This window comes from Homo sapiens, chromosome 8, assembly GCF_000001405.40.
Source record: "Homo sapiens chromosome 8, GRCh38.p14 Primary Assembly".
Lineage (NCBI taxonomy): Eukaryota > Metazoa > Chordata > Mammalia > Primates > Hominidae > Homo > Homo sapiens.
The window spans coordinates 7924455-7952448 of NC_000008.11; the positions used below are offsets into that span (position 1 = coordinate 7924455).

General features: G+C 39.0%; 1 protein-coding gene and 2 pseudogenes across 3 annotated transcripts; 2 read left to right on the forward strand and 1 right to left on the reverse strand.

Moving 5' to 3' along the window:
- Window positions 1-27994, forward strand: part of LOC124901865 (translation initiation factor IF-2-like) — a 451468-nt pseudogene that overhangs the window by 310731 nt on the left and 112743 nt on the right.
- Window positions 1883-27959, forward strand: ZNF705B (zinc finger protein 705B). 3 transcript variants are annotated; one of them, XM_047421207.1, is made up of 7 exons: window positions 1883-1943; window positions 5803-5982; window positions 22897-22979; window positions 24675-24801; window positions 25579-25674; window positions 26211-26293; window positions 27353-27959. In XM_047421207.1, the coding sequence occupies exons 3-7, from the start codon at window positions 22968-22970 to the stop codon at window positions 27935-27937; spliced, it is 903 nt and encodes a 300-aa protein (XP_047277163.1). In that variant the 5' UTR covers window positions 1883-1943; window positions 5803-5982; window positions 22897-22967; the 3' UTR covers window positions 27938-27959. The 3 variants fall into 3 exon arrangements, with proteins under 3 accessions (XP_047277163.1, NP_001180559.1, XP_047277164.1); NM_001193630.1 differs by having other exon boundaries at window positions 5833-5982; XM_047421208.1 differs by lacking the exons at window positions 1883-1943; window positions 5803-5982 and having other exon boundaries at window positions 22764-22979.
- Window positions 9810-14316, reverse strand: DEFB108A (defensin beta 108A; annotated as a pseudogene).

Below are 27994 nucleotides of genomic sequence, written 5' to 3' on the forward strand. Positions count from 1 at the left end.
TACACCAAAAGCACTTCCTCCATAGAATTTGCAAAGAGTAAATATGTACTGTCAGAGATTTATTCTTATGGTTCAAGATCTAATTCTTTATTAATCAATCACACACCTCCAAAGTGCTATTCTTAAAAAACAAACAAACAAACAAACAAAAAAACCCAAAAAACAGCAAATTGCTGCCTTGCAAAACATCAGGCTGCCTTTAATGCCTTCAATCCTCATCTGAGTTCCAGAAGTGAAAGATCATAATCCATAAAAACCTGAGGTCAAAAATGTACGTTCTTAGAATCTGCATTTGTGTAGAAAGTGTCAGACTCTTAAGAAGGTAGCAATCTTGGCTTGTCACTTGGCTGGTCAGCCACCAGCTATGAATGTCAGTTACCTGCTCTTCACTTTGCCATTTTTGTCCTTGTTGCCTGCTCCAGATAAGAGGGAGCTGAGAAACAAGAGGGTTGACATAAATTGAGGTTAGATTGTAGTTTATTACTAATTCTTTCTCTAGACCAGATAGACTATTTGAACAGTTTGTGAAAACTAAGCACCTTCCCTTTAACATTGAAGGTACATATAGCTTTAGAGGAGGTTTCAGAGTTTTACGTTTTCATGGCCCAACCTAACAGACTGAAATTACCTGTGATGATCCCATCGCTTTTTCTTGGCAAGACTGGGGTGCCTATATTTAAGGGATAAGTGCCATTTTAAATGGAAGTAAAATGATTAATTTTATTTCAAGGATAGAAATTCTGGCTATCTCTTTACGAGTATATCCTTTTATAATTAAATGGAAGAGTTTTGGGGCACCTAGAGAAGCTCATAATATATGCCTGGGGCACTTTATACAGTGAACCCTTGCCATAAGTGCCCCATGTGGTCTCTTCACTGTTCTCCATCACAACTTTGGCTTTCAGATGACTTTAGCTTCGCTATTCCTTTATTTTGTCCCGGCATGTATTGAAAGAGAAGTTAAAAAAAAAAAAAGACAGGGCACTGAAAGAGAGAGAGAGAGAAAGAATGGTAAGAAAAGACAGAAGGGATGGAAAAAGGAAGAAGGAAAGGGAGGGGGAAAGGAGAGGGAGGAAAGCAGGGAGGGAGGAATAAAGAAAAGGGAGGGAAGGAAGGAGAGAGGAAAGGAGGGAACAAAGGTGGGAAGGGTAAAGAGGGAAGAAGAGAGAAAGGGTCGTAGATCGCATTTCCTTGCTTACTCATAGACAGGACTCGTATTAGCCCATTTCACACCGCTATAAAGAACTGAGTAATTTATTAAAAAAAAAAAAAAGATAGGTTTAATTGACTCACAGTTCCGCAGGGTTGGGGAGGCCTGAGGAAACTTACAATCATGGCAGAAGGCAAAGAGGAAGTAGGCACATCTTACATGGCAGCAGGAGAGAGAGAGAAGAGGGAAGCACCATTTTTAAACCATCAGATTTCATGAGAACTCACTCACTATTACAAGAACAGCATGGGAGAAACTGCCTCCTCGATCTAATCACCTCCCACCAGATCCCTCCCTTGACATGTGGGGATTACAATTAGAGATGAGATTTGGGTGGAGACACAGAGCCAAATCGCATCAGGACTCCAGCAATTCTTTCTCTCACCTAATCTATCTCTTATTCCCCTCTACTGCATCTATACCAACTAAAAGAAAAACACTTATTGGACACACAAGAGCTCTCGTCTTTTGCATTTGCCCAGCTTTTCAGGGAAACCCTATGAAAGGGGTGCTACACAGTCCCCACATCCTACCACCCTTCTTTCCCTCACTGCCACTCAAACCTGACTTCTGTCAATAGGGTCACAATGCCTTCTGCATGACCTCACTAAGCTCTGCCTCTGCCCATTGATATGACCCCTAATTATGTGGTCACTGGAGCTGCTTTCAGGTGTCCTTGTCCCAAGGGACATACAGCACACAGCCTGTGGAGGGTGGAGGAACCAACTGCAAGGTGGGTTTCCAGTAGGGCCAACTGGGGCTAAAGAAGGGGTGGGAGGCAATAAAGAGGCTTGCTTTCAGGGTGTAAGTGTAGGAGACAGGAATGTAGACAACAGATTTCAGCCTCCACTTTACTTTCTAGTGGTATTATTATTATTATTATTATCAGTAGTATTATCACCATCATTATTTGCTGTGGTATGAGTGTTTGTGTCTCTCCCCCAAAATTCATGCTGAAATCTAATCCCCAATGCAATAGTGTTAAGAAGCGGAACATTTGGGAAGTGATTAAGGAACACTGACCTTTACCCACTTGGCCCACCATGACCCACCTGATGCAGACTTTCCCCCTTTGTTAGGGAAGTGCAATTCAGACAACCTTTTATGCACGACCCTGTTCATTCTCTAAACCTCAAGCTCTATTGCTGTCAAACACACAGAACTAGTTTATCTCACTAGAGATGTGTTCCTTTATTCAAAAAATATTATCTTTCTTTTTTAGCAAGAAAGACTGTAAAATAAGCAAAAGTTTTGATTGTGGATAGTTCAAATCCCAGCTCAATCACTAGTTGTATAACCTGCATTGACTTGCTCAGAGAAAATATCTATCTCATATAAAAGTTATGTCAACTAAGATACCACTTTCAAGACTCGTGGTACGTGATAGGTGTTCAAGAATGTTCATTCTTACTGGAGTGACAGAGGAGTTTCTATATTATTTTATTAAATTATGTAAACTTAAGTTATGCTAACATTTAATAAGTGAAATTCAGTGTGTTCCTACAATTTTAGGCCTTATCTACGACCATCTTTCTCCCACACCCAAAATGGCCAAAGTTTCCCTACCAGCCTCTAATTCCATGGGCCCTAAAAGGCAAAGTTGTCCTTATTAAGTTTTAAATTTTAGGGATTTTTTTGAGACATTCCAGGCCTTATGGAGGAAAGTAGTATCTTGTGTGATTTCAGGTATCCAGAAGTTGACTTAAAAGTTCCTCTTACAGGTTAGGTTCATTTGCATTTCTCTAATGACCAATGATGATGAGCTTTTTTTCATGTTTGTTGGCTGCATAAATGTCTTTTTTTGAGAAATGTCTGTTCACATCCTTTGCCCACTTTTTGATGGGGTTGAAACTCTTGTGGTGATCCTAGTTAAAACACAACTCTGCGTGGATAGGTATTGGGTAGCAATTGACTCTTCCTAAGATTTTTTTTTTTTTCCTGAGACAAACAGTAGGAGGTTGACACTATAGCCATCACCAAATAAACAGGAGACACTGGAGCTTTGAAAGGTTGAATTATTTGCACAAGATCACTCAGTTGATGAATGGCAGAGCAAAAGTTTTGAAACCAGGGTTATCTGACTTTAGAGCTCTTTTATTCTTAGGTACAAAAAAAAATTGTCTCTATTTTTGCAAAGACCACAGCTTACATCAGAGCTTGGCTGATTTCTCTGATGTCTACATCTCATCAACAATCTACCTTTTGGCTTCTCAACACATACTGATTATTAATGTAGGGTGACCACTGTTAGAGAGGTCGAAAGGTATGCATCCCTGAGTTTCCTCCCTGCCTTCCTTCCTTCTTTTCTTCCTTCCTTCCTGCCTTAGTCCATTTGGGATGCTATTAAAAAGTAATATAAACAGGGTGGCTTATAAAGAGCAGAAGTTTACTTCTCACAGTTCTCGAGGTTGGAAGTCCAAGATCAAGACACCGGCATAGGTGTCTGGAGAGAGCTCGTTCCCTTCTCTGTGATGTTATGTGGTGAAAGGTACAAACGAGCTCCTTCAGGCCTCTTTTATAAGGGCAGCAATCCCATCACAAGGACTTCAGCTCCACGACTTAATCACCTCCTCAAAGCCCGCACCTTGTAATATCGTCACCACCTTGGGGGTTGGCATTTCAACAGATGAATGGGGAGACAGAAATATTCAAACATTCGGGCCACAGCACTTCCTTACCTCCTTCCTCCCTCCGTCAATTTATTCATTCATGTATTGATTCTTTCATTCAAGTGTCATTTGTTTAAACAAATACGTGAGTACCTCGTCTCTGCTAGGTACTTCTCAGGGGCTGAGGAAGTAAGGTAACCAGACAGTGCTTGTTACTTTAGAAGCTCACAGTGTAGAGAAGGAGAGAGATGTAGAAACAATATAAAGCAACACAGATGTGGAGGGGAAAGAGAGAAGGAGGAATTTCAGTGTTTTACCGTGTATACTTTCTGCTGTTTAATTCCTTTACCATAAAAATGCGTTGCACTACATGATTAAGAAACTCTTTGGCCCCTAATGCGTCACCTAGTTGTAATCTATGCAGAAGTTTGACATGGTAAGAGCCTGCCTAGAATTATCGCTTTTAACCAGGTAGCAAAAAAAAAAAAAAAAATCAAACATTGAACTCAACCAAGGAAAAAATGTAATTTCCATTTACAGAATTTCTTCTCCTTTTTTAGCTTCTAAAATGGGTGGTTTTCCAAAAAACCAAGTGCTCTCATTTATAAGTGGGAGCTAGGGTATGAGTACAAAAAGGAATACAGAGTGATATGATGGATTTTAGAGACTCAGAAGGCCGCAGGGCTAGGAATACAAAACTACCTATTAGGTACAATGTACTCTACTCAGGTGACAGGTGTACTAAAATCTCAGAATTCACCGCTATATAATTCATCCATGTAACAAAAAACTATGTGTACCCCAAAAACTACTGAAATTTGAAAAGAAGAGAGAGAATTTAACCTCTCCTTAATGATTCATGTAGCACTTTCATATCTTGAAATAAGGTAATGTCAGTCGTATTAAATATTGGTTAATTTAATCCATAGATGTGTGGAAAGAGGCAGTTGACAGAAAGTAATCTTGCATGAATTCAAAATGCAATTTTAATCAAAATGCAATTTTAAAATAGCTGCCCTTACATGGTCTGGCATTAAAAATAAACTTTTTTATAGAATGGAAGAAATAAAAAATGTTTAAAGGGTGGTTTTCTTTATATTTCCAAAAGGAAAGTTGATAGATGCAGAGACATGAAATGAATGAGGATAAATGAATAAGTGGATGAATCCTCAATATCACTATTTTATAATAATTTATTCTGGGGAAAAAAAGGCACCAAACCTCAGAGCCATAAGCAGAAATGAAAATCCACCAGAAAATGCAAAATTATTGTGAAGACTTTCTATTTGAATAGGAGGAGACTTGGATCTGTAATCATGAGTCCATAGATGGAACATTCTCAGGTTACACCCATGCCATAATTTGAACATTTGAATCAGGAATGCAAGCTTTTTCTCTCTAGCTGAATTGTTGTCGTTGTTGTTGTTCTTCTTCTTTTTAAATTTTGCAGTGATTTACTTTGAGTGGAGTCATTTGCTCTTGAGAAGAAGCATCACCACTAAAGGATGCTTTATTTTATTTCTGAAAGGCATTTGCAGGTAGCTCAGCAGATCTGTTTTGCCACTTTTGTATCACGCCCTTGTGTGCTTAGCCACATACATGTAGAAATTGGCTAAAATAAAAGTGCAATAAACTGCTGCTTCTGGATTTAAGTATTAGTTACCCAAAATTATTTCAAAAAATATCCATTTACTCTATGTATGTTCATTTTTTTAAAATTTCAACTTATTTTAGATACAGTAGGTACATGCGCAGATTTGTTACATGGGAATATGGTATTATGTGGTGGTTTGGAGTATGGATCTCATTACCCTGGTACTGAACATAGTACCAGATAGGTAGTTTTTTAACCCAACTCCTCCCTCCACCCTCTAGTAGTTCACAGTGTCTATAATTCCCATGTTTATGTCCATGTCTGCTCAATGCTTACCTCTTATTTATAAGTGAGAATGTGCAATATTTGGTTTTCTATTCCTGTGTTAGTTTCCCAGCTGAATTCAAACTCATTCCCAGATCACTTGTCCTCCTCAATTGATGTACACTGAAGAAAGAGCCACCTTCAGGCTGTAAGGTCATCGTATAATCCTGACCACTCATTTCCCATCATGACACTGCTGTTCCTTCTCTTTCTCCTTCTTGGATGTCTGATACAAACAGCCTCAGGTAAGCTACAAGTCCACCTGGAGGATGATGAAGTGGATGCCCTTGGAGCTGACGTAGGCCAAATTGATTGATCAGCCAAGGAAGCACTGAAATATGGAATAACTGAACAGCTGCATAGCTGAGAAAAACACAGCATGTACAACAAATTTCATTTTACAAATCAGGAGAGAGAAGCTTAAAGAAATTTAAAATTTTTTCCCAAGATTACATTCATCTAGTTGTTGCAATAGATACCAGACATAACTAACAATTGTGATAGATAACATTAATAGTAGGCATCACAGCTTACAAACCATTTCCATGTGAATCAAAGCAATGGCAACGACAACACTAATACTAATAACAAATAATGCTGACCACTTTCTGTTTACCAGACATCACGGCAAAGATGTGTTGTGTTATTTTTTTTGTTTTTTTTTTTGTTGTTGTTGTTGTTTTGAGACAGAGTCTAGCTCTGTAGGCCAGGCTGCAGTGCAGTGGCACAATTTCAACTCACTGCAGCTCTGCCTCCTGGGCTCAAGCAATTCTCCTGCCTCAGCCTCCAGAGTAGCTGGGATTACAGGCATGCGCCTCCATGCCCAGCTAATTTTGTCTTTAGTAGAGATGGAGTTTCTCCATGTTGGTCAGGCTGGTCTTGAACTCCCGACCTCGGGTGATCTGCCCCCCTCAGCCTTCCAAAGTGCTAGGATTACAGGTGTGAGTCAGGTGGCTTTCTCAAGTGCCAGCAGTGACAGTGGTGAGCTCGGTAGATAGGCATGCCCTCAAGACCCTGGGAGGCATGTGTAGCATCAGCAATTGCAGTAGTCATAGCAGGTCAACTCTCGTGACCCCAGATGGCATGTGCAGACACCAACAGTCATGGCAACATGATGGACAGAGTAGTCCTCAGGCTTTCACCTGGTGCAAATATGTGGGCACTGGTGACAGCCGTGATGGCAGGATGGGAAGTCCTATCCTTAGGCTCTCAGGAGACACACAGGTACTTGATGGTGATAGGTATGGTGGATTAATCCCCCAGCTCCCAGACAATGTGCACAGGCACCACCAGGCTGGGTGGGCTCATACTCAGGTCACAAGAAGGCATGCACAGGTGCCAATGACAGACAGCAGTGTGGGTTGATCCCCAGCGTCCTGGACAACGACCTTGGGTAGTGGTAGTGACAGCAATGGGTGGGATGGGCCTGTGCTCTGGCCCTGGAATAGTGCCCAGGCAGGTGAGTCCCCAGGTCCCCTGAGGATGCCTGCAGGTGTGCAGTGGCCCTGCTCCTGGGGGTCAGGATTGCTGTCAGTGTCAGTGGTCCTGGGAAGGTGACTCTCCACTTGAGAAGAGTGCCTGCTTCAGCTCCCTTTGTTCTGGGGGCAGCCTCCCTAGTGAATGGCACTGCCAGTTCCCTGGAGTGTAGGACACTGTGTAGGCTAGAGTGATGGGGACCAAGCTACACTGGTGAGTTCAGCTGGTATTGTGACTCTGCAGGCCTCTGGATGGACATGAGGGAATGTCACTGAGGGTCCAGAGATGTGGAGATTCAGGGGCTGTTGGGCCCCAGGGCAGGATGTAGTCTTTTGGGGGCTGGGCTCTCAAATTGGCATTGTGCCACAGCTGCCTGTGTCTGGGGGCACGTGCAGACGATCCAGTGCCAACTCCTTCTCTGGGACAATGACCATCACATAGACTCCAGGCAGCTCCCTATAGTAGTCTCAGGGCCTGCAAGGGCTGAGAGACTGTCCCTTGGCTAGGATTGCAGTGTCCACAGTGGGAATATGGACCACTGGGGCTCTCTTTTTTACCTTTTCACCACACTGGAGAGCCTGTCCTGGCTTTAAGCTGATTCTGGCTGGGCTGCTGCTTCATTTTCCTTTCCTTCCATGCCTCAGAGATTCCTCGTCAATTTGCTGCTGAATTCTAGTGCCCTCTTTCGTGCCCTCTTCAAGGTATGATTATCTACTTGCTGTCTTGGTCTTTCTTTGGGAGGACACAGTGCCTGGTACCTCTAGTCAGCCATCTTGAAGGCCACCTCCTAGCAATGAGAGGATAATATTCTATGTGATGGCTTTAATATATGTGTCCAAACTGCTTCTTTTCTAGGGAAGCACTTACTCTAAGAAGTAAATGTTATATAGTGCAAAAATATATTAAAGGGTCAGTTGGTGATGCAGTTTCAAAAATGCACTGAGGAAAACTTGGCACTTCCATAGGGTTGAGTTGGTTGGAATATATCTCAGTCTCTGAGATTTTGAACCCAATGTTTTGAACTTTTTGAGATTTCGAGTAGTCCATGTGACATAACTTAACATTGTTTCTTGGCCAAATCAGGCATAGTGAAAAATAAAATCCAGCTAACATACTTTTAAATATCTTGATTCTATACTCTTTCAATGACCAAGGGGAGGCCCCCCAGTACTTTACACAAAAAAGAAAACTCTATGAATGAGAATCTCTTCACACAAAGCCACTAAAGTTGTGTCTAAATGGAGGAAAATTGTGACAGGTGGTAAAAGCACTCAGTGGCTGTTGTAGGCAGAATAATGTCCCCTCTGTCTCCCGCCAAAGCTATCCACATCCTAACTCCTGGGTCCTGTGAATGTGCCACCTTGTAAGCAAAGGGGAATTGAGGTTTCCTGTGAAATTAAGGCTGTTAATCAGCTGACCTTAAAATAGGGAGATTATCTTAGATTATCCAGGTGGGCCCAATGTAATCATGAGTCCTAAAAAATGGAAGAGTGGGGAGAAGATGAATTCAGAATGATGGAATGTGAGGACTCAACGCTCCGTTGCTGGCTTTGAAAATGTATGAAGGAAGCTATGGTGCCCAGGAGTAACCTGCCATTGCTGGGATAAAGGTGCAGGAAGAAAACTGCAGAGCTTCCAGAAGAAAGCTCAGCCCTGCTGACACCTTGATGTTGGCCCACTGAGATCCATCTGAAACCTGCAGCCTATAGAACTGTCAGATAATGCATTTGTGTTGCTTTAAGCCACTAAGTTTGTTGTAATTTGTTATAGGAGCCGTAGGAAGCCAATACAGTATTTTAAAAGATGGAAGAAAATGCTGAATGATTATGCCCAGTGAAAGCTGGGAAGCAAAGGAATTCCCTGAATCTTGGCCAGGCATACATGTACAGACCCAGGGAATTGCCTCCGAAAAGGGTGCTGAAAAAATTGCCTTTAATCTGAGTGCAACTCTTTTTATAATTTAGATTTCTGGTGAAGTCTGGTTGACGTGATTGTGCAATTTTCCCATGTGCTGCACCTTTATCAGGGAGAGACAGACCCCCGCAAGGCTGCATGGAATAGGATGGCGCATTTTCCTAGTAAAAAAGGGGAGTGGTCTTCCCACATGCAGGGTGAAGGGTTACAGTGCTAGACAAAAGCAATGGGTATGATTGAAATTTCCCCCACCCTGCTGTATGTCATTTTCAACTAAGAGCTCATCTAGATGGGATAGAAGGATACTGGAAACCAAACAGTAATCAAGTCATAACATGTAATATAAACTTTTTTTTTTTTTTTTTTTTTTTTTTTTTGAGACAGTGTCTTACTCTGTCACCCAGGCTGGAGTGCAGTGTCGGGATCTCGGCTCACTGCAGCCTCCACCTCATGGGTTCAAACGATTCTCCTGCTTCAGCCTCCTGCGTAGCTGGGATTACAGGTGCCCGCCACCATGCCTGGCTAAATTTTTGTATTTTTAAAAGAGACAGGGTTTCACCATGTTGGCCAGAATGGTCTTGATCTCCTGACCTCATGATCCACCCACCTTGGCCTCCCAAAGTGCTAGGATTACAGGCATGAGTCACCGCACCCAGCCAGTAATATAAACTTTTAAAAGAGGTTTTGTGCTGGTTGGTTTTGGTTTATTCTTTTTTGAGGATTCAATAAAAATCCCTGTGAGAAAAATGGAGAGAGGGAAAGGGAGACAGGGAGACAGGGAGAGGGAGAGAGAAAAAAGAGAACCTAAAACCTCCAGAAAACAACAGGCTTCAGTCCTTTTTGGGTGTAGTGCTCTCAATTCTTGGTTGATGCCCCAGAGGCAGGCAGCAGGGTCGGCTATTTAAACATCTCCCTACATGGATTTCTGTTTCGAGGCAAAAGTCCCGACAGGAGCCATTTGGACGTTCACAGATCTCCTTGAATTTGCCCTTGGCTACATGCAGAAGGGGTTATTGTAACCATTCATCAGTCTTTCTTTACTTTGTATTGAATTACATGGACGTAGGGGGCAGTGCCTGAAAATAATCTTGTGTGGATTTGTGTGTGTGTCTGTGTGTGTGTGTGTGTGTGTGTGTGTGTTATTTGATTTCTTAAACACTTAAAAATCTGCTGCCACACAAAAATTTGGATTTTTTGGTGTTCTTGAAAAATCTGAGAATATTGGGTGCACCTACATGACAAAAGGCTGGAGGTGAGTAGCCTGCTTCCCTTTACAAGTTCTAGAGCATACAAGTTTCAGTTTATTTCTTCCTTATTGTCTTCTAACACTGATGGGAGATGTCAGCCTTTTAAGAAAATATAATGTCCTGTACTATGGATTTTCCTGGAGTGAAAGAGAAGAAAATCTCTTTTGGATCAGCTGTTTTTATTCCTACACACACACACACACTCTCTCTATATGATAGATTATAATAGATGTATCTTTCAAAAATAGAACTGAAATATAGACCTAAAAGATAATATACTTCAATTGTTAGAGAGGATATTTTTCCTGTGGAAGGGAACAATATTCCTATGTGTTTAATACATAAATATATCTGTGCCATTACTTGTTACACCCTGAGACTTCACTCACTACTCATATCTCTGGAACTGGTCTTTGAGGTTGCAATTTTTCTCTAGAAACCATTGCATATATTAAGAGTGAAACATTCAAGGTCTTCTTAAAGGCTCAAAAACTATACTTGTTGAAAATATTGAATAGTATTTCATTTATGTCCTAAGATATCACTGCTCTGGGGATAGGCCACACACTCTGAGGTACTGAGTTTGAAAAGTGTTTTAATTCTGAGCAGTCTTTGTATGTAACACAGAGCACCTTTTCCATGATAACTTCTTGGCAGTAAGAGAGGTATAAAAACCAGCACTTTTTTTTTTCTATTCTGGAACACAAAAGCCAATTCTAGAATAGCTTTCAATCAGTACAGCAATTTTAATAAACATTCAATAAATGCCTATTTAATTGACCTGAAATCCAAATGTATTAGATTCCATTTAACTTTTCAATGGTCACAAAGCAGTTAGTGGATTGATGTGAAGACCAAATATATGCAACATCATATTTATATCTGTAATGCAAATTGGGAAATAAAGGTCATGCTTTTCTGAAGACAATGGTAATTGTAAATGTTGACCACTTGGTAGAAACAAGCTGAAATCTGAGTTTTTTGATCCCTGAGCTTTCCATCTCTTCCTTTTATCTGTAAGTAGTCAGCTATTACGTATAGTAGTACCCAAGCCCACTGGCCTTGTGCTAAAATTGGCCCTTTGCAGCTGGAAGAGTCATAAGAGATTAGTATAGTGTAGAGGATGAACCACTGACCTGTCTTGTGATATGTGATAAATCACTCTTGAACATCCCTCTGTGGTAGTACTTCTTGCATTCTACTATGGGTGGTGTTTTCCCATCTGACCTCAATTCTTGATAATGAATTTCTTGAGGGCAGGAATAGTATCTTATTCTCCTCTGTATGTATATTCCAGAATCTGATTAAAGTCTTGGCTTATAATAGCTATTCAGTAAATGATTGTGGAATAATTGATTAAAATACAGCTATTTTCTAACTTGCAATATGTTTGTGCGGAAATTTGTTGTTACTCTCGGTTCAGAGGTCTTTGAATCATGTGTACTATTTTACTATACCTGATTCTATTGAGCATTATATTTTCAAACCACTTTTCGAGAAACTTAATACAGAACTACCATTTGACCCAGTAATCTCACTACTGGGTGTATATCCAAAGGAAAATAAATCAGTCTTGTAAAAAGACCTAAATCTGTATGTTCATCACAGTGGTATTCACAGTAGCAAAGGTATGGAATCAAACTAGGTGTTCATCAACAGTGGATTGAATAAAGAAAATGTAGTACATATATGTCACGGAATACTATGCATCCATAAAAAGAACAAAATTGTGTCCTTTTCAGCAACATGGATGCAGCTGGAGGACTTTATTCTAAGCAAATTAGCTCAAGAACAGGAAGACAAATACCACATATTCTCAGTTATAAGGGGGAGCCGAGCAATGAGTGCACATGGACATAAAAATGGGAACAAGAGAGATTGGGTCTTACCAGGAGGGGAGGGAGAGGGAGTAAAGTCTGAAAAGCTACTCTTTGGGTACACCCTACCTGTGTGACAGAGTTATTCATACCCCAAACCTCAATATCACACAATATATCCATGTAACAAATCTGCACATGCACTCCCTGAATCTAAAATAAAGGTTGAAGTTATTTTTAAAAATTGAAATTACAAAAGACTTTTTAAAATTATGATGTACCATTGTTCATTTGTAAGAATTCAAGTAACATTAGGGATTTTAAAAATCTTTCGTTTTCATTTGTTCTTTGCTTGTAAACCTTGTGTATTGCATATTGTGGACACTATGTCTTTTCCGGCCATTTGCTTTAGGAACAAAAGATAGAGTTACAATGAACATAGGCTGTCTTGTCTAGTCACCTACCTTAAAGTTGAGGAAATAAGCTGATGGAAAGGAAGAAACTTGCCCAAGATTACCCAGTGATCGAGTGAAGCAGATGATAGGGACAGCACTAAGGCTTGGTATTCTGAGCCTCATTCTATTTTCCACTCTTGCCCTCTCTCTGTGTCCTCCTCTCCTCTCTAGCCTTCTACAAAAAGTTGGCAGTTCTGCTTCAATGTCTACCTAAGGACATCCAGAGGAGATGCCACCTTTCATTAGGGTGCATTCTTTAGCACCATCCTGTGTTTTCTTCTCCAGGCTTGTTGCATCCCATTTTTGACTGTGAGTCATGCTTCTGCCTGTGCTGTTCTATCCAATTAGTTGCTTCTATTTTGATTGAGTAACAGTGAAAACAAAACAAAACAAAATGTGTTTATCCAAATTTGGAATTTTTAAACCTTGATTAAAAGCATTGATTTTCTGGGGTTATATATGTAAGACACATATTTTAAAATATTTTTAACTGATTAAAAAAAATCAAACCCATGTATTTAGCCAGGGTGACTATTTAACAAGTACTAGTGAGACAGGAATTCAGTAATGCCACAAGGATAATAATCTTATGTCAGTCCCCGATGTTGTGTGCTACCGAGTTAATATGATTGGATATGGTATCACCTTTTTTCAGGCTTTAGAAAGTAATACAAAGGAACAGCACAACAGAACTCTAGGGTGGGATGTATAGGGAAAGCCAGGATATTAAAACAAAGTGTTGACTCTGACATTTACCCCACTGTTGGGAAAAACAGTTCAGTTTCCAGGGCCTTAATTTTTTTCTCTATAAAACAGCAAAAATAGAGGCAATAAGTTGCTTATTCGTCCTTGAATACACATGTTCAGGAGTTCCAGAAAATTTTTGAATCTACTTTGGGTGTCTGGTAACCACCTTGGGCCAATCCAAGAAGTCCTATACACACTTCTCCAAAGCATGTCTGTGCAAGGGGCCTTATACCTGTGATTAATGTTCGCATGCTGAATGCAGTAGGCTATGCTCTGGTGTGGGATCATCCCTGGTTCCTGTGTTTAAATTCTACATTACAAGACTAGATGCTGAGAAGGAAGAGGGACAGCCAGGGATGGAGATGGAGCCTTAAGGGGAAAAGTCAAGCTCCAGGGACCAACAGTATCGGGGAGCAATAGGTTAAAGATTTCTTAGATTATAGTAATATTTTCAAAGAGACTTCTTCCACCAATCCCTTCTGTCTGAGCCTACCACAGCTTTGGCATAGCTCTTATGCCAGTTCTTAGGATAACTGACTTTTGCCGAAAGAGGAGCTTTGGAGACAAAAATTTAGTAGAATAATGCCTGATTTTTAATTTTTGAGGTCTAGTAACTGCTAGTAAACTTGCCTAATTTGGAGATGGAATAAGAGGGTTTCAAAGACTTGAAACACCATTGACTTCATTTAACTGGGTTGCTATGGAGAATTAACGAATTAGATGGCTGCAGGCCTCTCAGCCAATGAGTCTTCCAGGTTTCCTATGAGACCCCCTTTTCTGGTCATAGGTGATGGTGATTTCTCTTTGAGTATTGAATCCCTGTAAGGTGTTAGGCACTCTACTCTTACCAAGTTTATTTTGTTACCTGGTAGAACTTGGCTCATAAAGAAGAAAATGGTGAAGAAGAGGACAGCAATCCTCATGGCTGAAGAAAGAAAAAAGTTTGGCTTCATTTCCAGGAGGCAGAGAAAACTTCCGTCTGTGGCTCTCTAGCAGCAGTGGAATGTCTCTGTTTGGATAATAAGAGTCTTTCTGTACCTCCTTAGGGATATTCATAGATAGAGGTGTTCTATGCACGCAAAATTGCTTTTATGGGAAGACTGAGAATCCTTTTTTTTTATTGGACAGCCAGTTCATTAGAATGATGTGGGTGCACAGTTTTGGCCAGAAAACCTTGTTAAATGGGGACATAAGCTACATTTTGGCAAAAGATGAAAGTTTATGAACAAACAACCATTTATATTGTTACAATAAATTAGACTGTGTTGAGAAACCAGTTGGTTTCATTAATGACCAGACATTTTGTTAGTGAACACTTCCCAGACTTTACTAGCCCTGCTAAGAATTAATCACCCCACTTGCTCCTGGTCTGAAACTCCAAAGTGCTTTGTTTATGTTACAGTACTTACTGCCTTGTATGTTAGATTAGTGAATGTATATTTGCCTCATCCACTACTGTATGAACTTCTTGCTTGCTAGGACAAGGCTATATTCCTCAGAACTGAGGAGGGAGTTGAATCATGTGGCTATTTATTCTCAAATCCTCTTCACCAAGTGGAACAAAACAACAGCGAAAGACCACCGCACGTGGAGGCAGGAGGTTTGGATTTGGGTTCTAGATCTCTAGATCTATTACTAACTGGAGGTATGGATATAGTCAGGAAAATTGTCTTCCTTAGGTGCTTCCTTGATAGCACCTATAAAGGTCGAGATCTATTGGATCTAGATCAGGGGATTCTCAATCATGACTATGCAGAAAATCAACTGGGAGAGTTACTTTGCAATACAGATGCTTAGTTCCATCTCATGATATTTTTATTTTTTTTTAAATTGGTCAAGTATTTTTCATTAAATAATGTAAACTTTCTTAGTCTACATCTAACAAAACTCCCACCAGCATACAAATACATTGAATGATATTAGCAGCAGAATCTTTAAATAAAGTAACCATACACAACTATGAGGCCACCTTATTTTCATTGCTTATTATTTCATGCTATTTGTCACCATTGTCATCATAATCAGCCTCATCCTACATTGTTGAACACCCATCATGGACCATATGGCATAAACATTTTTCCTACTCATAAAGGAGCATATGTTCTCTATATGTATATAAAATTAATGTCTGAACAAAGTAGCTTAAACAAGGCAGAAGTTTGTTTCTCCCTCACTTAAATCTATAGTTCTACCTACCATGGCTAGTACAGATACCTGCCAAATTCATTAGGGATGCAGGCCCCTTCCAGCACTCTGTTCTGCTATAGTGTAAAAGAGGCTCTAGTTTGGCTGCTAAATCCCCACCTATCATTTTTGAATTCCAGGCAGCAGGTAGGAAAAAAGCCAAGAGAAAAAAACAAGGGAACATCTACCCCTCCTTTTAAGTTTTTTAACCAACCCCCTCTTGTTTTATTTTAACCGACTTTGTTGAGCGATGATTACATTTAAAAAGCTGTACATATTTAAGGTGTACATCTCAGTGAGCTTGGGGATAAGTATACACCATGAACACATCACTACCATCAAGATTATAACCATATCCTTCACCTCCCTAAGTCCCCTCCCCTTTATTATTATTTTTTTTTTTGGTAAGAAATATTGGTAAGAATACAAAATCTACCCTTTTAGCAAATTTTAAGTATTTAATACAGTATTCTTAGCTGTAAGCACTATGCTGTAAACGAGACCTCCAGAACTTACTTACGTGGTATATCTGAAACTTTGTGCTCTAACCACATCTACCCATTTCCCCAGCACCAGGGCCCCTGGCAACCACCATTCTACTCTCTGCTTTTGTGAGTTTGTCGATTTTAGATTTCAAACACAAGTGAAATAATATAGTAATTGTCATTCTGTGGTTGGCCTATTTCATATAACCTAATGCCCTCCAAGTCCATCCATGTTGTCACAAATGACAGGGTTTCGTTATTATGGAACACTGAACAATATTCCATTGCATATATGTATTAGCCATTTATCCTGATACTCTCCCTCCACCTGCCTCCCAACAGGCCCCAGTGTGTGTTGTTCCCCTCCTAATATCCATGTGTTCTCACCGTTCTGCTCCCACTTGTAAGTTAGAACGTGCAGTGCTTGGTTTTCTGTTCGTGGGTTAGTTTGCTGAGAATAATGGCTTCCAGCTCCATTCATGTTCCTGCAAAGAACATGATCTCATTCCTTTTTATGGCTGCATAGTATTCCATGGTGTATACGTACCACATTTTCTTTATCCAGTCTGTCACTGATGGACATTTGGGTTGATTCCATGTCTTTGCTGTTGTGAATAGTGCTGCAATGAACATATGTGTGCATGTATCTTTATAATAGAATGATTTATATTCCTTTGGGTATATACCCAGTAATGGGATTGCTGGGTCAAGCGGTATTTCTGGTTGTAGGTCTTTGAGGAATCACCATACTGTCTTCCACAATAGTTGAACTAATTTACATTCCCACCAACAGTGTAAAAGTGTTCTTATATCTCAGCAGCCTCATCAGCAGGTAGTTTTATTTAAAAAATTTTTGAGAAACCTTCATACTGTTATCTGAAATGGACATAGTAATTTGTATTTCCACCGCAAGTATACAAGGGTTATCTTTTCTCCACATCCTCGCTAATACTTGTTATACATCTTTTTGATAATAGCTATTCTAAGAGGTATCAGGTGATATTTCATGGTGGTTTTTATCTGCATCCCCCTGATGATTAGAGATGGTAAGAATATTTTCACATATTTGTTGGCCATTTGTATCTGTTCTTCTGGGAAATGTCTACTCAGATCTTTGCTCATTTTTATTATTATTATTATTTTTTTGAGATGGAGTCTCGCTCTGTCACCCAGGCTGGAGTGCAGTGGCGTGATCTCGGCTCACTGCAAGCTCCGCCTCCCAGATTCACACCATTCTCGTGCCTCAGCCTCCCAAGTAGCTGGGACTACAGGCACCCACCACCATGCCCAGCTAATTTTTTGTAATTTTTTTTTTCTTTTTTTAGTGGAGACAGAGTTTCACCATGTTAGCCAGATCTTTGAGCATTTAAAAAAAGAATTCAACTTTTATTTTAGATTCAGGAGATGCATGTGCAGGTTTTTACATTGGCACATTGTGTGATGCTGAGGCTTGGAGTATGGATGATCTTGTAACCCAGATAGAAAACATAACACCCAATAGACAGTTTTTAAGGCCTTTGTCCCCACCTTCCCTTCCCCCTCTAGTAGTCCCCAGTATCTGTTGTTCCGATCTTTACATCCGTGTGTAACCAACGCTTTGTTCTCACTTATAACTAAGAACATATGGTATTTGGTTTTCTCTTCCTGCATTATGTTAGAATAATGGCCTCCAGCTGCATCCATGTTGGTGCAAAGGACATAATTTTTTTATGGTTGTGTAGTATTCCATGGTGTACATATACTGTATTTTCTCTATCCACTCTAACATTGATGGGCATCTAGGTTGATTCCATGTCTTTGCTATACGACCTTGGGGAAAGAGAGTCTTGCTGCTTGCTTGTGGGACTTGCCTTGGAAGGTAGATAAGTTCACTGCATCCTCCAACTTTTTATTTCTGGTGAGTTCTCCAAGCACTGAGATGTGAACTGACCTCATTCCCTTACAATGGTACTGTTACCAGTAGAAGAGATTCCAGTTTCTGGCAGCGTATCTGCATGGGTCCATAAGCAACTTCAGTCCTTGCCTCCTCAGAAGAAATAATTTGACTGAAGGGCATACAGCAGAAAAAGAGACTGAGCGGTAAGTTTCAGAGCAGGAGTGGAAGTTTATTTAAAAAGGCTTTAGAACAGGAAGGAGAGGAAAATTCTCTTGGAAGAGACCCGAACAGATGCCTGAATGTCCAAGAAAGAAAAGAGAAGAGCCTTTAACCTTGATCCTGCCATGGGTTTTCTTCTTTCCCATGATTCTAACTTTAGGGAGCGTTTCCGGCTTGCACAGTGTTTTCCTTACCCTTTGAAATTGAGCATGCACGGTGTGTTTAGGGAGTTATATGCATGTCCATCTGAAGCTTTCTTTCCTTTTCCGGTGGAGTGTGCCCCCGGAAGATTATGCTTTGCCATTTTTGTCTCTTAACATGCATGCCCAAGAAGTTGCTTCTTCCTGAGGTCTGCATTTAACTAACATTTTTGATGTTAACAGGTGTAGACCATCAGGAAATGGCCTCTCTTTGGTGCTGCCTAATTATCATTTTTAGAGAGGCAATGTGATAATTGACAGGCCATCACCTGACATTTCTAGTGGGTAGGGGAAGAGCCCTCTCCTGCCCTGCTCATGCTCTTCTACCTGTAACAAGACAAGCCTTGTATATCATTAGACATTTGTCCCATCAAGGCAGCATCTCATTATTACATTTTATTGTGTGAATTGTTACTTCACATTCTCATAATCTGTGTTCACTATTTGTGTGCCTTTTCCACTTTTGTTTTGACCATATCTCATTATTTGAACTGCCTCCTCCAAGATTCTAGATCTGCATTGGCCAATATAGTAACTACTAGTCACATGTGACTATAAACTGTAAATTAATTATAATTAAATAACTAAATGACATATCCTTAGTAGTAATAGCCAAAGTCTTGGCCAAACTAGAAATTCTGTAACTACATATGTGTGGTAGTTACTGCATTGGACAATGCAGATATAGAGAATTTCTTTCATCACAGAAAATCGTGTTGGGCATGTTGGCTACCACTTATTTTTAAATTCTATTTGTGTGGTTTATAGTTAAATTATATTCTGCTTCTCTATATTCATTTCCTTTCACAGATTTTCTCAAGCAATTTTTAAATTTCATTCTTTTACCTTATTGAGGTAAGTACTTAGATTATTTTTTTAAAATAATGCACAGCAAATAATTTTTCCATCGATATTGTTTTAGCTTTATTGTATTGGTACTTTTATGTACTATATTCAGGTATTATTATTTTTCATAACTTACTTTTAAAATTGTGACAAGTTTATTTAAAATAGATTTCTCCCTTGATTTTCAGATGTTAGATTCTGTCTTCCATTGCTGTATTTTAATTTAATTTAATTTTATTGTATGTAAATATGTTGCATATTCCTTTTTTTAAAATGTGAGATATTTCCTCTCTCCTGTTACATAAACTTTGTATGCAGTGTTCATTATGCACTTTAAAAATAAATATTTTGTTTCAGGGCATGATGCTTTCACACATAAAACCTTAGAATAATTTTAAATTCCATTCCACTTTCACCATTCCTGAACTGCTTTGAATATATTGGAGGTTGGAAGCCATGAGAGGCTTGCAATCCTGTCAAGATAATAGGATTTTCCATTTATAGTGTAATCTGACTTGCAATCCCGTCAAGATAATAGGATTTTCCATTTATAGTGTAATCTGATATATATTCGTTCTGGTTTCATACTTTAAAAAAATCTATTCTCTTTTACTCTGTGGTGATCTTTGCTTTTCTATTTTTCCATTGCTAGAATGTGAGCTGCTGTTTCCCTAGCACCTCAGATGTCATTCAACATTGTATAGCACTGGTGTTGAGAATTGAGAGAATCTACTAAATAATAGCACTTTTCGAGACTGCAGTTCTGAATTAAAAGGAAGGGAAAGGACAGGCAAAACAATATAGACATCAGCTATTTTTACTGAAGATCTGTTGGAGAACATGGTTTTGTTGTCCAGGAACTTGAGACCTAATACTGCATTCCTAATACTTCACTAACGTGTGTCTAAATAGCCGTGAAAGGGCTAAGAAGTCACAAGTTGGCCTCTTAATTTTTACGGGTGCCCTTAAAATATTAAGGTAATATTGAGGATGCAGAATGGCTCATTCCTCATGACTTTTTAAGAGATCTGGGCCGGGCACGGTGGCTTACGCCTGTAATCCCAACACTTTGAGAGGCGGAGACTGGCGGATCACCTGAGGTCAGGAGTTCTAGACCAGCCCTACCAAAATGGAGAAACCCCGTCTCGACTAAAAATACAAAATTAGCCGAGCACGATGGCGCATGCTTGTCATCCTAGCTACTCAGGAGGCTGAGGCTGGAGAATTGCTTGAACCCAGGAGGTGGAGGTTGCGGTGAGCCGACATCGCGCCACTGCACTCCAGCCTGGGCAACAGGAGTGAAACTCTACCAAAAAAAAAAAAAAAAGAGAGAGAGAGAGACAACTGGAGGGAGATACTAAGCTGTGCAGGCTCTCATCTTGAAGTCACCAAATACATAAGTTGTTATTTCTGCTCTGGTGAAAAGTTTGTCAATACATTTTTTTTCCATGAATTAATGAAAATTTTAGACCTATAACATAAGTTTTTAAAAGTTTCTCCTAAAGATTGCTTGTGTATGTATGTGGTTTAAAATATATTTAATCTCTACATCTTGAAATCGTTTTGATAGATTCCACACAAGAGTCCTTTATGAAATAAGTATGCTTTAACTTTCTTATAATATTTGTCCTTTTTTGTCCCTGGCACGGTCTGTATATGACCAGTTAAATTACTTTTAGTTCATGTTTGGGTTATAATTACACACAAATATTCTCTAAAGCCCAAATCTTATTTTGATATTCGAGGAAGAGTTTACATGGTAATAATATTAAGGGTTACAGCTGGTTACACTGAAGCTTTGTCGGCATTCTCTAATATCTTATTTTTTTTGAAGGAATATCTGTTCTGCTTAAATTGTAGGCTACATAATACATGTACTGTCAGGTACATTCATGGAAGGGACAGGCAGATGGAGTCATATGTTACTGGAGTCTTGATGAACAGATGTAGAAAATAGTTCAAGGAATAAGAAAAAAGTTGATATTGAAAAGTGCTTGTTGAAGTCTGTAAATGTGCATTAAATGTGGCAGTAAAAATAGACACAATGATGTTTGGGAACTGGGGTCTAAATGCTGGAGTCCCCAGAATCATAGAGAACCTTGGTTAGGGGAGTAATTTTGTCAAAAAGCAAGAAGAGGCAGTGACAGGCAGAATATAATTAAAAGTATTGCTGGGCCATTTTCTAATTTTGTAATTTTGTCATATTATTCAAACCCTGTTGATCATTTATTAAATTGGTAAATAAATTATAATCAGCAGGATTATTATGAGGGTTAAATAAGGAAATATATGTACATCTGTAAGCACAATGTCACAATTAATACAAAGTTACCCTTTTTATTTTTCCTGGACTTCATGTACAAATGGGTCAGTAAATTTTTTGTTTATGACACATAATTATCACTTGCACATAAAATATATTTAATTATTTTTATATTTTTAGCAAGGAAATAATACATGCATGTTTCCCCGTCTCAAACACATACACTCATATAAACATATGCACCTATATACCTACATATCTATGTACGAATATATACATGGACATGGGTATTTCTCAGCAAATATGTATCATGATAATCACAGATATTGCAGCTAACAAAGACTAATATAAACCATGATTGCAAGAATTTTAGATACCACGTTAGTGAAACATCAGATTGAGCTGCTAAATTTCTCCCACCCCTATGTCATTTTGTATTTTCTGAGCATCCTAGACGATTGTGACTGTATACACAGGACAGAAACACCATGACTCAGGGTACTCCTGCTAATTTCCGATGCAGGAGATTTTAAGGGCTAGATTAGCAGGATGGGAGTGTTGACCCTCTAAGTGAAATAAATCCCTCAATTCATTATCCCCATCCTAAAACAGATTTTTTTTTTTTTTGAGACAGAGTCTCACTCTGTCGCCATCGCTGGAGTGCAGTGGTGGGATCTCAGCTCACTGTAATCTCTGCCTCCTGGGTTCAAGAGATTCTCCTGCTTCAGCTTCCTGAGTAGCTGGGATTACAGGCAAGCACCACCATACCCAGTTAATTTTTGTATTTTTAGTAAAGATGGGGTTTCACCATGTTGGCCAGGCTAGTCTCGAACCCTTGACCTCAGGTGATCCACCTGCCTTGGCCTCCCAAAGTGCTGGGATTACAGGCGTGAGCCACCGCACTCGACCCTAAAACAGATTCTTACTTGATTATTTCCACGTTCCAAGGGGAAATACAAAAGTCAGAGTTGAGTGAAAATAAAAGTGGAGTAAGGCTTCAGAAGGCTGTGGTGGGTGTTGGAGAAACGTTGCTAGGGCATAAAGCTAGGATAATAAAATCTGAGAAATCCCAGTGTTTATCTATAGGTGGAAATCATATTCCACATGTGGATGGAGTCAGGGATCCCTGTGTTTTAAAATCAGTGAGGGAATTGAATATCTGGACTTGTGCCAATTAACATACAAAACTCCGTGCTTTTGATGTTCTCATTCACAAGATATCTGTGTTCCTTGTTTATTAGCAACCATAGTCATAGGCTTCCTAATTTTGACCACGGGAAAAGAGGAGAGGCCTCTGCGTGTTTGTGTCTGTTGGTTAGGCTGTGGTGCAGCTGGTGTCACACTTCAGTGAAAGTCTGGCTTTTCATCACAGGTTGATCTGAAAATTGTGCACAAGACTGGTGTCTCACATGTTCTTTCTCCAACCTCAGCTTTTCTTAGTGCCTAAAGTGTCTGCAAGTGGAAATCCAGAGGAAGACAGAGAGAAACTGAGTTCCTGACAATGCATTCACTAGTGAGTAGGGGATGCCTCTTTCTACTGAAATTATACCCATATTGCTGGCAAATGGGCAGTTTTCTCCAATTTGCATGGGTGTTTCATTTTTATTCTTTTTTTGTTTGTTTTTATGATGTAAAATCCACCCAGCCTGGGTGTTCCAAATGCAGTCAGGAGGCTTTCAGGTATCTGGCCTCCAATTAAGTTTTCTCAGGACTCTAGGTTGGGTATCGTGTGTCAAAGACTCCTAAATTATCAATATAATTTCTAATATTACACTACTTTATTCCAGCCCTTATTAAGACTATTTACAAAAAAAGATATGAGAGGTTTCATTTATATATTTCTTTTTCTTCTATCCATCCTATAATCTCATAGGGAAATAATTGACCCATTAACTGTACTGTTGGCTGAAATAGACTTAGGATTGTGATGAATGCAGACGACAGAGATGAGTGAAGAGCAGAACATCACAGCCCAACAATGAGTCTGATGTTCTAGCAGCTGAGTTCAATAAATCCAGTGTGATAGGACTTGGGCAAGAGCTGTGCAGTGTTGAGGGAAAAGAAGAGTTTTATAAAATATATTTGAGCTTTTAAAAACTTTGTGAAAGGACAACTAAAGAAGTCATTACTATTCTTATCCCCATTTATTTTACCTTTTGGTAATTAACTTTTTTGCCTTCTGGTAAGTGAAAGTAACATATAGGAAATATAATTATTTAATTATGGTTGCACACTCAGAAGAAGGAATATAGTAGATAGAGTACAATTTAGGGTTCTGTGGAAATGCTTTATAAGGGCTGGTTACAAAAAAAAAAACAATGAAGAGGCTTTCTTAATCTTTGAACAAGTGAAGTGAGAAGGTCAATTTAAAAGAGAAACAATGATAACTGATGTTTGGACTGCCGAGAGAAAGTTGAGAACAGGAGGCTTCATATCACAGGAATCATCGGACTAAGATTTCCTCAGTATAGCAGCCTCAGCAGTCTTGTCTTGTGCTGCTAGACTGTCTTCAAGCCTTTTCATGAACACCTGAATTATATAACATTAGAGAGACTATATGTATGAATTGAATCCTATATTCTGCATAAAGCGTTCAGTTCTGAAGAATGCTGGAGTCTGGTTCATTACTTTCTAACTTTTGAATGAATAAGGGACCAATGACTTATATTTAATAAATATTTGCTAGGTAGGAAACACATTTTCTATTAGTTCATTAGATTATTCAAAACACATCATTGGTCTTTTAACCATTTGATTGGGGAGAAATCTGTCTTTCATCTAGAGAAATAATTTATTTCATCGCAGTCATGTTTAAAAAGTAGTAAATCATGGTTATTTGCCTTGTGACAAATCTGTAATTTACTTGAAATTCATGGTAAATTTCATTTTATTTATGAATGTTCAAGTGAAAATTTTATAAGCAGTTATGTAGAGGTGATTAACACATTACTGAAAAATATCTGGGTTATATTATGCCACACCTCATGCAATATTTCTTTATAGTAAAGTTTAATGGATTCAGAGTGGGTATATCTCTGTGAGTGAATCTGAAAGGCAGATACCAGCTTAGTACTGAGAATGAACTGGCTGGAACCAAAAACACTGAGTATTCTGCATACCCAGCTCCTAGCTATATCATCTCAGCCTTCCTCTTCTGGACATTGAAAGGGATTTCTCTGTCTAAACTAAAATGTCTGTGATGTTTTAGGAGAAAGTGACTTTTGAAGATGTAGCTATTGACTTCACCCAGGAAGAGTGGGACATGATGGACACATCCAAAAGAAAGCTGTACAGAGATGTGATGCTGGAAAATATCAGTCACCTGGTGTCCCTCGGTGAGTCCCTCAACATTCACGTACATATGTAGACACACATTCGCTCATTCATTCAATAAGTGTTAGAACAGCTTCCCCATATCTCACTCTAATCTCTTCTCTGATTCTCTCACAGATCTCATCTGAAAAAAGTTTGAACTCTCTAAATCTATCTTAAATAAATATCTTTCTTTTTATTTTATTTTATTTAGTTTGTCACTCAATTAGAATGTAATCTTGACAAGTATTTCATGGTGTCTTTGGTACTCAGTCTCTAATACTCATAACAGACCTGGGAACATAATGAATATTTTCAATGTATTAAATTAAATACTCTCTAAATAACTCTTCTGCTTTAGTCTATGCTTAGGCTGAGACCAATTAGTGAAAACAATAGCAATATCTTTTCCATATAGAACACCAATTATTTTTGTAAATCGAATGTTTTTTTTTGTTCTGCGTGAGAATAATAATAAACACAATGTGCAGAGATTTAATTACTCTCTTTCTGAAAAGATTGTGTATTATGCATTGTGTCTTGGAACTTAGGCATGGACTCAGCATTCATAGGTCCTGACTGTTTTGAATTTCCTTTTCCTGATGGCCCTTTGGTTTGGATTTATTTTCTAGTCTCAAGTTGGGTCAGAAAAATCCTGGGGAGTTTTCTGTGTTCTAGGTCTTGTGGCCTGAGCTGACCTTCACTGTTTTTATTCTTCCTTGATAGCCTGCCTTACACTTGGTGATAATGCACATTTATTGACAGTGAACTCAAAACACATGTATTCTTTCCACTAACAGGGTACCAGATAAGCAAATCCTATATAATTTTGCAGCTGGAGCAAGGAAAAGAGCTGTGGTGGGAAGGAAGAGTATTTCTTCAAGACCAGAATCCAGGTAAGCAACAGGGTCCTGTGTCCTAATAGGAGGAGGTGCTTTCTCAATGAATAATATCAGTTGAATATTAATTAGTGGTTTTATTAAATGAGTGATAATTTCTAAAATGTAGGTTAGGCTACTGGAGCAGAATTCCTTAGATGTTATTATCGTTTTGTTCATGTGTCAGATGTTACTCTTGTGTCCTCTTGTTTTTCTTTTCTTTTACTTTTGGGAAAAAGACAATTCATGTACTTGGCTGGGGTTAAACTTTCATATGCTGACCCTTTCCCTGATACCCCTGTGAAGACTATCCCTCTATTTACTTGCCTGATATCTCATCTCCATTTTAACTCTTTTCACATTTTAATTTTAAAAATCTTTTCTAATTGCTGACACTGTACAATCTATTTCTTCTATTCAAGTAGTTTCTTCATTTGACACACTTGCCACATCTAAGTGTCAATTTTTGAAAAAAAGTAAATGGGCCTTGGGGCTTTTCAAACAATTTTATTACCATAATACCAATGTAACAATTTATTTTTCAATTATTTCAGACAGGGAAAGTGCCCTTAAGAAAAAACACATGATATCCATGCATCCTATCATCAGAAAAGACACATCCACCAGTATGACAATGGTAAGTTTTATAGCTGTGTACACCAGTCATCTAAGTTAAAGATATGGTAATGGGTTAAGTTAATAATGAAGCACAATCACCTGAGTGTAATTAGGCTGGCATTAAGTGCTTTCTAAGCAAAGAAAAAAACTGGAGACTTTGAATTTAGTGAATACATTGACCTCTGTTCTAAATCATAACATGAGATCTCTAAAATAGAGCAAGTGCATATACATTGCTCATGCCCAGACATTGAAAGATATTGATATCATCACAATTATGCAATAACTCTGCAGTTGAGATCTTACAGAAGAGAACATACCTGTGTCTGCAGGAGATAATGTGTATGCAAATGTCAATCGAGAAAAATGACAAGACAAGTCTCAATCATTTTAGGAGATTTATTTGCCAAAGTTAAGGACATGCACCCAGGGGACAGGTGTATGCCTTTCTCCAAAGATGATTTTGAAGGCTCCAAATTCAAAGGGGAAAGGCTGGGATATTGAGAAGTACACAATTTTCATGTAAAAGGTGGGTAGAAAAAATAGTCATTCATGCATTTTTCTGGCTCAGTGAATCTGGATTTTTTTACATAACATGACATAAACAAATGAGGCAGAGGAATAATGCAGGAAAGCTGCATTTTACATAAGACAACATAGGCAAAATGGGGGCAGGGAAACAATCAGATATGCATTTGTGTCTGGTGAACTTGGGATGACTGCACCTGTAAAGACAAGTTATCAGTTTGCATTGCCATGGTGTAATTTTAACAGCTCATGAGGAATTTCCTTGTGGGCAAAATATGGGGGAGGCATGTAGCTTTTCATCTTGTAGTCATATTATTTAGGAACCAGAAGGGGGAGGCAGGTTTGTGTGACCCAGTTCCCAGCTTGATTTTTCCCTTTGGTTAAATGAGTTTGGGGTCCCCAAATTTAATTTCCTTTCACACAAGAAACATTGGAAAGATTTCAACTGGGGTCTACCACTGAATGGTTGGTCTAGGATTCAAAGGTAGTGAAATGAATGTATAGATATATGTGGGTAAACCATTAAGAGCTTTTAATCTTTGTCCCAAAGGAGAACTCTCTCATTCTGGAGGATCCTTTTGAATATAATGATTCGGGAGAAGATTGCACTCACAGTTCCACAATAACTCAGTGTTTGTTAACTCACAGTGGAAAGAAACCCTGTGTCAGCAAACAGTGTGGAAAATCCCTTCGTAATCTTTTGTCCCCTAAACCACGTAAACAAATTCATACTAAAGGTAAATCATATCAATGTAATCTATGTGAAAAGGCCTATACTAATTGCTTTTACCTTAGACGGCACAAGATGACTCACACTGGAGAGAGGCCATATGCATGTCATCTATGTGGAAAAGCCTTCACTCAGTGTTCTCACCTTAGAAGACATGAGAAAACTCACACGGGAGAGAGACCATATAAGTGTCATCAATGTGGGAAAGCCTTTATTCAATCCTTTAACCTTCGAAGACATGAGAGAACTCACCTTGGACAAAAGTGTTATGAATGTGATAAAAGTGGGAAAGCCTTTAGTCAAAGCTCTGGCTTTAGAGGAAACAAAATAATTCACATTGGAGAGAAACCACCTGCTTGTCTTCTATGTGGGAAGGCCTTCAGTCTGTCCTCCGACCTTAGATGACATGAGAGAACACGCACTGGAGAAAAGCCATATGAATGCCATTTATGTGGGAAAGCC

What these genes read in the sequence shown, in the direction of transcription:
- ZNF705B (XM_047421207.1), top strand. An exon ending in CAGTCACCTGGTGTCCCTCG is followed by an intron (nt 24,802 to 25,578) that starts GTGAGTCCCTCA and finishes TTCCACTAACAG; the next exon opens with GGTACCAGATAAGCAAATCC. An exon ending in TCTTCAAGACCAGAATCCAG is followed by an intron (nt 25,675 to 26,210) that starts GTAAGCAACAGG and finishes CAATTATTTCAG; the next exon opens with ACAGGGAAAGTGCCCTTAAG.